The sequence below is a fragment of the Homo sapiens genome, chromosome 11 (assembly GCF_000001405.40).
Source record: "Homo sapiens chromosome 11, GRCh38.p14 Primary Assembly".
In the NCBI taxonomy this organism is placed as follows: domain Eukaryota; kingdom Metazoa; phylum Chordata; class Mammalia; order Primates; family Hominidae; genus Homo; species Homo sapiens.
Window position 1 is genome coordinate 86,737,684 of NC_000011.10, and position 11,267 is coordinate 86,748,950.

The following is an 11,267-nucleotide window of genomic DNA, read 5'->3' on the forward strand; positions in this document are numbered from 1 at the left end:
GAGAAAAGACTGTGTATGTTTGGCAAAGTATTTGTTTATAAGGATTTTTGGCATCTGGAGTAATTTTTGCTTTTTATTGAATATAGCTCTGCATTTTATAGATGGCTCTCAACTTGGCCTGAGATTCTTGAAGGAAATTTTGGGATTTTTGCCAAACAATAACACAGAGCTTCATATTTATGTTATAAAAGCCAGCAGTGTCACCATAGACAACTTCCTTCCTTTGTTGGAGCAGTTTTCAAAAACACAGATCACAGCATTATTCAGTACAGTAAACCACACCCTCCACCCCTTTATTGTTATTGACAACAGCAGGGCAGAGTGTGTAAGTCATATCCAAGTGGAAAACATTGGCTCCAATGCATCCTATTGTGAAATCCTCATGCATTGTGTTGCAGCACTGACAACAAAGGAAAAATTAAGAAACATAAAGAGGGAGAAGAAAAAAGATTCCAAATGGAATAAGACAAAAGAGAGAGAGGTTCAAAAAGCAGTAGGCCAAGATATGCTGTGAATGCCCAAGACTCTGGTTCTGTTAAATCAATACTAGTCCATGACAGCAAACATTTATTGAGTATTTGCCGTATACAAGGCATGGGTTGATTCTATACATATTTATTTGGTCTTCTCAACAACCTTGAAACCACCTTTGCAAACTTACAACAGTAAGAGAAATCTAAAATAGTTGTCTCCATCTTGCTTCTGACCTCCAACTTGTCCTTGGTCATTCCTGGGCATAGGCCAAGATAACCTTGGGTAGAATTTAGTTTATGGTTAACTGAAAAGCAAGGATGATAATAGTCCCTCCCTAAAATGAACTCTTTCCTTGCTCGGGGACTGAAAACTCCCTTTGTGGGGTTTTTATTTTATTTTATTTTATTTTCGAAAACTATCTTTGTAAACTAGAATAGGATTCTGGGAAGGGCCCGAATTCTGCTAAAGTGTTGGCATAGTTTCTATAATCCCTTACCGCTCAGGAGTCATGTGGCCAGAGGTTATAAAATTTGTGGCTTCCCTAATTGCTTCTATAGATAGTGTCACTATTGTAGAACCTAAAATTGATTTTTTGAGATATCTTTCAGACTGACCCCTCCTGGACTCTGACTCATGACTCAGCTAATCCTGTGGCTCTACCCAGAGGCAAACTCACTGCATGAGGACCATTTTCCACACCTCTACTCTTTCAACCCCAACCAATAAGCAGCACCCATTTCCCAGCCCCCTACCCACCAACTTGTGCATAAAACCCCTAAGCTCTGAGCCTTCAAGGAGACTGAATTGAGTGAGAATTCCAGTTCTCCTGTATGGGCTGGCCTTGTGTCGATTAAACTCTTTCTCTACTGCAATGCCCCAACCTCAGTGAACAGATTTTGACTGTGCAGAGGGCAGGAAGAACCCAACAGGCAATTACAACCTTGTGAAGTTGGTATTATTTTACAGATGAGTAGGAACTTAAGGCTCAGAGAAGTAAGGAGCATTGACCAAAGTCACAGATCCTATAAATGGCAGAGCTGGAATCTGTGTCTCCATGGTCTAAACTTCCTCCATTCCCTACTGACACGCTGTGCCCTGGAGACCCTAACCCTACAGCCACAGTTGATTGGACATCTGACATAAACAGCTAATCCATGGGGAGAACTGGGATGTCTGTGACCAGAACCAAATATGAGATCGGGGCCAATTTTGTTCCTCTCTTACGATTTTAGAGTCTGGAAAAATCATAGCCAGTTAGCTATGAAGCCAAAGGTTAATGAGATGGACTCAATACAGGGGCAGCCATTCTGAGCCATGGGCAAACTACAGTGAGGAGCACTGCAGGCAGGAGAAAAGGGAAGACAAGGCACCAAGAGACAGAGGGTGAGAGGGATCGGAGACAGAGACACAGAGCCAAAGAGAATGGAGCCTAGAGCTAGCCACCTTGGCTCCTGACAGAGTCTTGATTTTAGGCCCAAGGGGTCCTGGCTGCACTATGGCACCTATCCTTGGCTTCCTGTGAGGTCTCCATATTCTTACAATGATTCTTTCCACCTAAGCTCATGTGAATGGGCCTCTGTAGCAACCCCCAAAATTCTGATTTCAACAGCCTGATGCAAGAGCCACCTTACCATCTGACTGCAGGCCCCCATCTTCATTTACAATAACAGCCATACCCACCATGTGTCCCAGGACAGTTGACAAGCCAGAGTTTCCATAGGTCTAGTTCCTCATCTCTGTTGCTTTGATTAACCTGCCACTGCCACCATCCCTGAATAGAGAATATGTCTTCAGCCTCCAGGCCACTCCCTACCAGTCCCACCTTTCCTCCTATGGCCTATCTCCAGGTCTCTTGCCTTCATGGGTGCAACAACCACCTTCTCAGGTCACCAGACTGCAGCTCAAGGGATACCAAGGAGCAGGTGTTCAGCCCTGAACATTGCCTTCCATTCTCATTCCTAGAGGTCCCCAAAAAATGACCCCCCTCCTCCAATACCCAGATGTGGGTTTTTAGGAATTAATCTGGACATATAATAAAGAAAAACAGAGACAGTCTAATAAAGAGATGTAGACATGAGCAGACCCTGGCTTCTTGTCTAGATTCTCATCCTGACTGGCTGTGTTAACCTCAGGCAAGTTGGCCGATATCTCTGAGTCTTGGATTTCTTACCTACAGTGACAGGGAGGGTGGATAACATGAGAATGAGGCTCCTTCCCACTCTGACATTCTAAGATCCAAATTTAAATACCAATCAGTTCGATTGGCATTTAGAGAAGAGGATCCTAGATTCTTTCTGAAACGTGTGCTTTATCATCACACCTGTTCAGGCAGCAAGTATCAGCAAAGCACCTATAGCAGTGCAGACTGGATATGGAAAAGGAACTAAATTATCACAGAAGATAACAGCACACTAACTGAAGGTTCAGAAAAAAAGGGAGGGGGGCTTCATGTCTAAGAGAAGAAGGAAGGTGTGGGCAACTGTATGAACAGCAGAGGTGCAAGGGCATGTGCATTGCTGAAACAGCAGATTTCTAAGCATGTATCACAGCAGGCTGGGCTTGCAGGCTTTATTTAGGTAAAACTCCCATTGAGCTTCAGCTCCCAGTGCCCAGTCTGACTCAGAGCTTCAGAATTTTGTCCTGCAGTGCGATGAGTCATGGTGATGAAATTTCAAGAGAAAAGGACATTTTTAAAATTAGCTGTAAGATAGCAACTGGCTGTGCTTTTGCTCTGTAAGTGCCTTTTCCAGGTTATTTGAATTCCTCCTTTTTCAAGGCAACTGGAATGGTTGGGAATGGAGGCCCTGGAATAGGCCTCTCGTTTGCCTGCCCTTGGCCACTCAGATTCCCAAAACTCCAGGGCCTCTCAGTGCTTGCTCTTTTCAAGGAAGCAAGCCAAGGACTGGGGCACTGACCCTCAGGCCTGGTCTGCCCTTCACTCTTCCGCCTGATATCTTGTGGTTCTAAGAGAATGGAGTCCTCACAGGCCCCCAAGGCTAAGGTTGGGCTGGGCTGGGTTGACCACCCCAGCTAGAAGTTCCACCATTGAACAAAGATGGAGTGTGAGAGTCTCTTCTTACCCAACCTAATTCCTCTGACTGCACAAGCCCACTTTGTGCCTTTTGACCGCGCCTCCTCTCAGGGCAGGAAATCAAAGCTGACACTGGCTTTGCAGTTGGAATATTTCCATCAGGAATGAGATGTAAATGAACAATTTCTCCACTGTTTCCTGTACAACAGAGGGTTCTGTTGAGATTGGACAGGCGTGGCTCAGTTCCCTTCTTTTATTTACCCTGATGGAGAGCGTGTTCTCAATGTTTCCATCCCTCCTCAGGGATGTGCTGTCTAATGAGTATAATTGGGATTCCCCTCAACAAATCCAAATATTCAAAGAGCTACCCAGGTCTTTAGGGAATGTGAATGGAACTACAAGCAGGAACTATGAGCCCAGCCCAGCTGGTGAGATTCAAGAAGCTTCAAAAGGCCTAAATATATCTCCCTTTTGCCAAGTTCTTCCTATCAATATGCATATATTCATTTAGTCTTTCATTTAACAAGAATTGATTGCATACCAACCATATGGCATCACTGAGCTGGATATAGAGAATATTAACATAAATAAAATACAGCTGCTGCCACAAAGAACACATCTTTCAGTATGGAAATAGTGGTAAGCAATCAGTTATAATGCAAGATGGAGTGCTATCATAGAAGTGTATACAAAATATGAGATGCAGAAAGAAGGAATGGAAAGGTAGGGATGTGATCAGGCTCTAAGAGAAAAGTAAAGATGTGTATTAGTAATTAGGTCAACAAACCAAGAAAAACAGACAAAACCTTTTCTGGTTTGTATAACCAGTATGTTGAACAAGCATGACTCATGGCATAATAATACACTGTTGACTTCTCCTGTCCTGGACCTCTCCTGCCCCACTCTCTCTCTCTCTGCTGTTTCAGATCCAACACAGTTAAAGCCATGGGCAGGAGAAGAGGTAAAGCAATAGTACAGATTTGACTTGAGTCTGGTCTTTGGCCAAGGGAAGCATCCCCTGGGTGAGCCAGAGCAGCACTCTTCTCATAGGGGCCATGCCATGGGTTGCTCCCAAGTCCCTTTGTGGGACCTCTGTCCTGCAGTCACCTTGACCCTGACAGATGTGTCGCCATTCCTGGAGCCACTTGAGGCATTGAGGAGCAGCACATTTCCAATCTTCCTGCGAAAATCCCTTCACTTCTCTCACAGGCACTTTCAGAGAAGATCTAAGATGGCCCACAGAACGGTTCTCTTTCTGGTGTGTCCCACATCTAGTGCATAGGAAATGACCTTGAACAACTCTGGGAATGCATTCCAAACCCACCCAGCACACCTCCTGGTTCCTGAACCTAGACAGCAAGTTACTCCTCTCTCATCCTCTGCCCACAGCGGGCAGGAGCCAGGACCCAGTCATGGTCTGCTCTCCCAGACATTACTCAGGACTAGTTCTCTATGGTCCCTCGTGCAAGAAATATCTTTTCACGTTCTCCTGCAGCACCTCCATGCCTCCCTCTAAGGGAGAGGGCTGTAACAGCTCTCTCCAAAGGAATCTCTTCTCTAATTCTCTCTCCAAGCTGGTCCCTCTGACCCTTTCCTCTACTCTTGACCTGGCTGAGGGCCAAGACTGAAGGTACATGAGCCCTTTTCTTGAAAATCCACATCTTGGGGATATGTTGTCATGCTCATTTTTTTAATCTTGATATTGATCATATTTGGTATGTCAGGTGAACTAATGGCAAGAAGTAGCCCATTCCAAACATCTTATGTCCCATCGCTGAAACAACCCATACTGGGAATGGTGTCTCCCAGGATGCTCACCTGAGCTGTGTTCTGTTTGTAAGTAGGCAGAGGATGGAGACCTCTTGAAGACCTAATTGTTCCCAAGATATAGTCTATGCTCCCCATCACATAAACTTCTGAGCTCCTTGGTCAAATCCGAAATGAATTTTTCATACCAGAGTTTACCCAGAGGACTGTGGGGGTGGGGTTGTGACCTGGATGGAGGACCGGAAGCTGTCCCAGTTTACTCAGTGTAGCTCGGAAAGGACAGGTTTGAAGTGAATCCATGTTTCTTCACACAGATAATTTTTTCCTCTTCAGAGTACTGGTCCACTCTGACAGCCCGTTGCCACAGAGCACCACCCACAGAGCAGAGGATCCACACTCAGTATTACATAGCATCAGCAGAAACAGAGGCTGACCCCCTTGGTGAGGCCACTTCAGTTTCCTTGTTCTTGGGCCACCCATGAGCACCTCTGACAGTTTAAAAGATACTCTTACAAGCCAAAGGAGAGAAGTATAGCCCAGGATTCCCAGGATTCCCTGGGAGCCCAACAGTCAAACTCTGAGCCCTGCGTAGGCTGTGAAAACTGAGTCACAGGTTGGTGACTCACTGGCTTGAGACCACACCATGAGTCAGGCAAAAAAGGCTGGGGACAAACTTTTATAATCTAATTTCTCCAGACTGCCTCTAGAGAACCACCCTTGAAAAAGAGCAGGCTCTGGGGTAAATGGCTGGGAAGACTTGTTGAGACACCAAACCGCGCATCAGAGAATAAAGACATACCTTGGCTTGTTGCATGTCTCACCTCACTGACAGCTTGCGGTTGTGTGCAATAGATTCTAATGTTGTTTTGTAATTTCTAACCCCACTTACTGGTAACAAATTCATCAATCACTTCAGATCTGCTGGCTGCCCTTAGTGACTCAGTGTCATTCATTATCCCCTAGCAACTGCTTATGCTTCAGTGTTTATGAAACCCTGGTGCAGAAAGGCTGTCTGGGGACAGGGGAGGTGACATAGAGCAGTGATTAAGGTCACAGGCTTGGTTATTACACAAACCTGGATTTAAATTCCGGTGTCACATTTGATAGGATCTTAGGCAAGTCACTTGCTTCATTTTTTCCATTATTAAAACAGAAATAACAGTGCACTTGAAGAGTTGCATGGAGGAATAAATGAAATCCTGTTCATAAATAGCCTGGAATATAGGATATGCTTTATAATTGATTAAATATTATATTATTCATTAAGGATTTATTTCCATTAATGACTGCTCTTCCTCACAATTTTGCTAATTGTTTACAATGTTAAATAATCATTTATTGGGGTACAAAAAAATTAAGTTTTTGCCAATATACAAAAAAATCAAACAGCAGCAGAGATCTAAACTACCATCAGCACACATAGCCCTTAAGAGAAGGACTGGCCGGGTGCGGTGGCTCACGCCTGTAATCCCAGCACTTTGGGAGGCCGAGGTGGGTGGATCACGAGGTCAGGAGATTGAGACCATCCTGGCTAATATGGTGAAACCCCATCTCTACTAAAATACAAAAAAATTAACCGGGCGTGGTGGTGGGTGCCTGTAGTCCCAGCTACTTGGGAGGCTGAGGCAGGAGAATGGTGTGAACCTGGGAGGCGGAGCTTGCAGTGAGCTGAGACCGCGCCACTGCTCTCCAGCCTGGGCGACAGAGCAAGACTCCATCTCAAAGAAAAAAAAAAAAAGAAAGAGAAAGAAGGACTACAGTTGGTCCATTTTGCATCTTTGGGCATGACACAAAGTGCTCAAAAAGTGGTTATAAATAAATAAAAGGCTAAATGGTGAGTATTTCCACACTAAACAGTTTTGGAGTTTGTGTCATCCACATTTGAGCACTTTCATTCATCAAGTAAGAAACTTCAGCACATCTCTGCATTAGACATTATGTGAAACACAACCTAGCCATCCTCCACACACAAAACAGTATAAACACAAGCACACTCCAGGGTGTGGAGGGGTTTCAAGGCCACAAAGTGATACTTAGGCTTAGGATGGTCCTGAAAAACATTTTTGAGACAGAATTGGTATTTGAGTCTGTTTGGGCTGCTATAACAAAAACATCAGAAACTGGATGGCTTATGAACAACAGAAATTTATTCCTCACAGCTCCAGAGGTTGGGAAGTCCAAGATCAAGAAACCAGCAGATTTGGTGTCTGGTGAGGGCCTGTATTCTTGTTCATAGATGATGCCTCTTTCTGTGACCACACATGTGGAAGCAGTAAATGAGCTCCCTCAAGGCTCTTTCCTAAGGGTATGAGTCCCATTCATGAGGGCTCTGCCCTGTAACCTAGTCACTTCCCAAAGGCCCCGCCACCTGGCACCATCACTTGGTGAATAGGTTTCAACCTACAGATTTGAGGGGGACACAGCATTCAGAAAATAGCAATTCAGAACTGGGACTGGAGAGAATAGGCAGGATGAGGTGGGACATCAGGAAGCAGGAGAAGCTCTGGCAAGGGCTGGGAGAGACAGAAAATGCTGAACATATAGAGATCAGTGAGGTAGTGGCCCGGCCAGCCTGATCTGGGGCATTTGTGAGAGACGAGGGTGAATAGTAAAAGCCTTGGAGGGAGAACACCTCACCCACTGGAGACAGTCTCTTGTGGTCTTCACCAGCTGGACCTCCCAGGTGAGAGTAGCTTGCTCTTCCTTTCGCTGTGGGGTGGAGACATAGGATAAAGGAGGTTCTATTGACCACATGTTTTATGACATTGGCCCAGTCACTTCCCTTCTCTGGAGCTTGAATTCCCTCAGCCATGGGATAAGTGGGTTGACCTGATCTCAGGTTCTACACTTCAGTATGCAGATGAATCACTGGGCGAGTGAACTAAAACAGATCCCTGGGCTTGACTGCTAGATACAGAATCCTAGACTTGGGTTGCATTTTACAATGCCCCCTGCCACCCCAACATGTAATTCTAGGAGGTAGAATTCTAGCACAAAGTTTCACAAACTTTTCCAATACGAGGATCAATTTTTTAAGTCAAAAAATTTCCAAAACCACCTCTATGTAAATGTAGATTAATTCTTATATTGGTTGTTTGAGAAAACACATAACCAAAAAAAAAAAAAAAGAGAGAAAACACATAACAGTTTAAAACGATCATGAATGCGATAACACTTTGTGTTGCGCTTATAGTTTATTAATCTCAGCAGGGGCACATATGTTTGAAAAATAGTATTCTATGCATGTGGAGTGGGCAGGATGTGCTATTTCTTCATAGTCTAGGTGATGTTTGGCATCCTCTGCATTGGAGTATTGTAATCCACAGACTCTGGGTATGTAGCTCACAATTTGGAAACACTGACCTAAATTAACTGTTAGTTTCCACCTCAAAACTAACCTTTGATTCTAATTAGAGGCCTATGACTAGTTGGCTAAGCACTGGTTCTTTTGCCTGTGTTTGAAATCTAATAAAAAAAAAATCTTGGCTGAGCAAGAACTGCTGCTTCAGGTAATATTGCCCCACCTCCCAAAAATAGTGGCACTGCTCCTTTCCCCACAGATTCATTGTCATCCCCTGATTTGCAAGAGGGCTGAGGAATCCACTAGGACAGGAAAAGGACTTAAATCTTTTTACCAGGGGGCTTAAATACAATGCATACGAACTGTCACTTAAGAGCCAGTTTTGCCAAAAGGGGCTATGAATTCTCCTGTAATTGAATCATCCATCAGAGAAACAGGGTCCAGCAGGCAGCCAGACCCAGTACAGGCCTGGAGGGGATCTGGAGTGTTTCCAGATCCACTCTGTTAGCTGATATTAGACCATGCCTGTCCCAGTCATGATGCACAGCTGTAAAAGGAATATATGTATGAACTTAAATAGGTCTTTTAGAAAACGTATTAACTCTGTGGCTGAAGCTATGAACCCCTCACTGAGCGTGACATGTAAGAAACTCACTCTCTTCATTAGAGTGGTAGCAGCATGCAGCCTCAGGCAGCAGCTGCTACACCTGGCAAGAAACCACCAGCACTGCTTCTTGGACACCTGAAAGCATCCCTGGGGCTTCTCAGAAATGTTTGGGATGAGTTTCTGTGAAAGACCAGTCTCCTACATTGACATAGGTGGAGGCTCAGTGCCCTAAAGATTCGAGTACTACGCTTAAATGTGATTGCCTTTGCAATGACTGAATTTTCAGACTATAGAAATGGAAAGTTGGAGACAATGTTCATCAGATAGATATTTATTGGCTGTTGCTTAGTTCTTTAGGTTTCTTTTACTGTAATGGTTGTTCAGTATAATGGTAACTGGTCTCAAAAACAAAAACCTGGTTCTCACCCAGCCATTAAGGCACCCACAACTGCAATCTCAGGGTGGTGGTAAGCATATCCATGTGAACCTTCTCTCCATCGAGCTCATGATCTCTGCGGTTGGCTTCTGGTTTCTCAGGGAATGGCTGGCATTTAGATTTACAGTTGTAGGAGAGACCCTGGGGAGTGACTGCAGTGGATTCCATTGGGCTCAGAGACATTCTTTCTTTTGCTCTGTCAACTGGGGTCCACCCAAGCTTTTGATGAGAGCAGCTTCAAAGTATGTGATGTGTCTGCACAGAGTATTCCCTTTTTTTTTTTTTTTTTTTTTTTTGAGACAGAGTCTCACTCTGTCACCCAGGCTGGAGTGCAGTGGTGCAATTTCAGCTCACTGAAACCTCTCCCTCCCAGGTTCAAGCAATTCTCCTGCCTCAACCTCCTGAGTAGCTGAGATTACAGGTGCCTGCCACCATGCCCAGCTGATTTTTGTATTTTCTGTAGAGACGGGGTTTCGCCATGTTGGCCAGGCTGGTCTCAAACTCCCAGGCTCAAAGCAATCCACTTGCTTCAGTCACCCAAAGTGCTGGGATTACAGGTGTGAGACACCAGGCCCAGCCCAGAGTATTTGGCCACAAAAATGTCAGGGAGGTGGTATGGAATTGTTAAAATAATGCAGGTTTTGGAACCTGAAAGATGTGACCTCTCTGAGCCTCCGTTCCATTGTCTGTAAAATGGACTCGAAAACCCCACCTTATAGGGTGGTTATGAGGTTAAGCAATAGTGTATGTAAGGTGACTGGCACAGTCATTGCGCAGGCAGTTTAGTGGTATTCAGATAACAGAGAGGTGGTATTCAGATACCAGAGAGGGAAGCTTATTTCAGAGACTACATCATGGGACTGTTTATACTTTTTCCTTCCCAGTGTGCCAAACACCATCCTGGGCACTTGGTTATAAAGATGCGCTAACTCACCTCCCCTTCCCCTTTCACAGCACAAGCTCAGGCCAGGAACAGTTTCCTTCCCAGTGGCATAGACTGCCAAGCGCTTACTGCTGTGGAGATGGGGGTCATTCTGGGTGCCTCTGACTTGGGTTGTGCTGGGAATGGAAGTCGGGTGGCCACAGGACGAAAACAACAGACTAGCCCAGGGCTGGAAAGCTGTCAACAGGAATGTGAAAACGAGATCTTGGTTGAATAGCTATGGCAAATATTCTTGGAACATTCTTCCTCTGTTCTTAGGGTGAGGAGGAGGAGATCTCACCCCAATTGTGGGGGTGGAAAAATCTGCTTTTCATTAGGGGTACACTGTGTGTGGAGGGACCAGCCCTTCCAGACAGCTCAGTGATCACAGCCTGGGTGCTCACTGGCTGAGGTCAGCTCTTCCCAGCACCCAGAACCAGGCTCCAGGCATTGGACAGGGCTGCTAATAGCCAACAGAAACATGAGGTCTCTCTACCCTTCTATCCTACTCAAAAGCATTTTTCTCATTCTATTCTTCGTAAGCAGAAGGGGACCAATCCTCTTCATCATAGCTTTCCTTTATTGAACACCTGTTCACCAAACACCAGACTATGAAGCCACACTGTCTCTAAGCAATCTTCATATTCTAATCTTTACCCCCTTTCTTTTGCCTGCTATCTTGCCTAATCATTCACTGAGAAAATAAATCCCACCAGGCAAGTGCATTTC

At 44.9% G+C, this 11,267-nt stretch overlaps 3 annotated features.

Annotated features, from left to right (window-relative positions):
* Nucleotides 2,760–3,374: an enhancer, noted in NCBI's record as "NANOG-H3K27ac hESC enhancer chr11:86451485-86452099 (GRCh37/hg19 assembly coordinates)". NCBI's record gives its function as "activates a minimal SCP1, AML or CMV promoter by ChIP-STARR-seq in naive H9 embryonic stem cells {active_cell/tissue: H9 hESC(naive)}" and the evidence as "EXISTENCE:reporter gene assay evidence [ECO:0000049][PMID:30033119]".
* Nucleotides 2,944–3,238: an enhancer, noted in NCBI's record as "tiled region #8285; HepG2 Activating DNase unmatched - State 8:EnhW, and K562 Activating DNase unmatched - State 5:Enh". NCBI's record gives its function as "activates a minimal TATA promoter and a strong SV40 promoter by Sharpr-MPRA in HepG2 and K562 cells {active_cell/tissue: HepG2 | K562}" and the evidence as "EXISTENCE:reporter gene assay evidence [ECO:0000049][PMID:27701403]".
* Nucleotides 3,375–3,988: an enhancer, noted in NCBI's record as "H3K27ac hESC enhancer chr11:86452100-86452713 (GRCh37/hg19 assembly coordinates)". NCBI's record gives its function as "activates a minimal SCP1, AML or CMV promoter by ChIP-STARR-seq in naive H9 embryonic stem cells {active_cell/tissue: H9 hESC(naive)}" and the evidence as "EXISTENCE:reporter gene assay evidence [ECO:0000049][PMID:30033119]".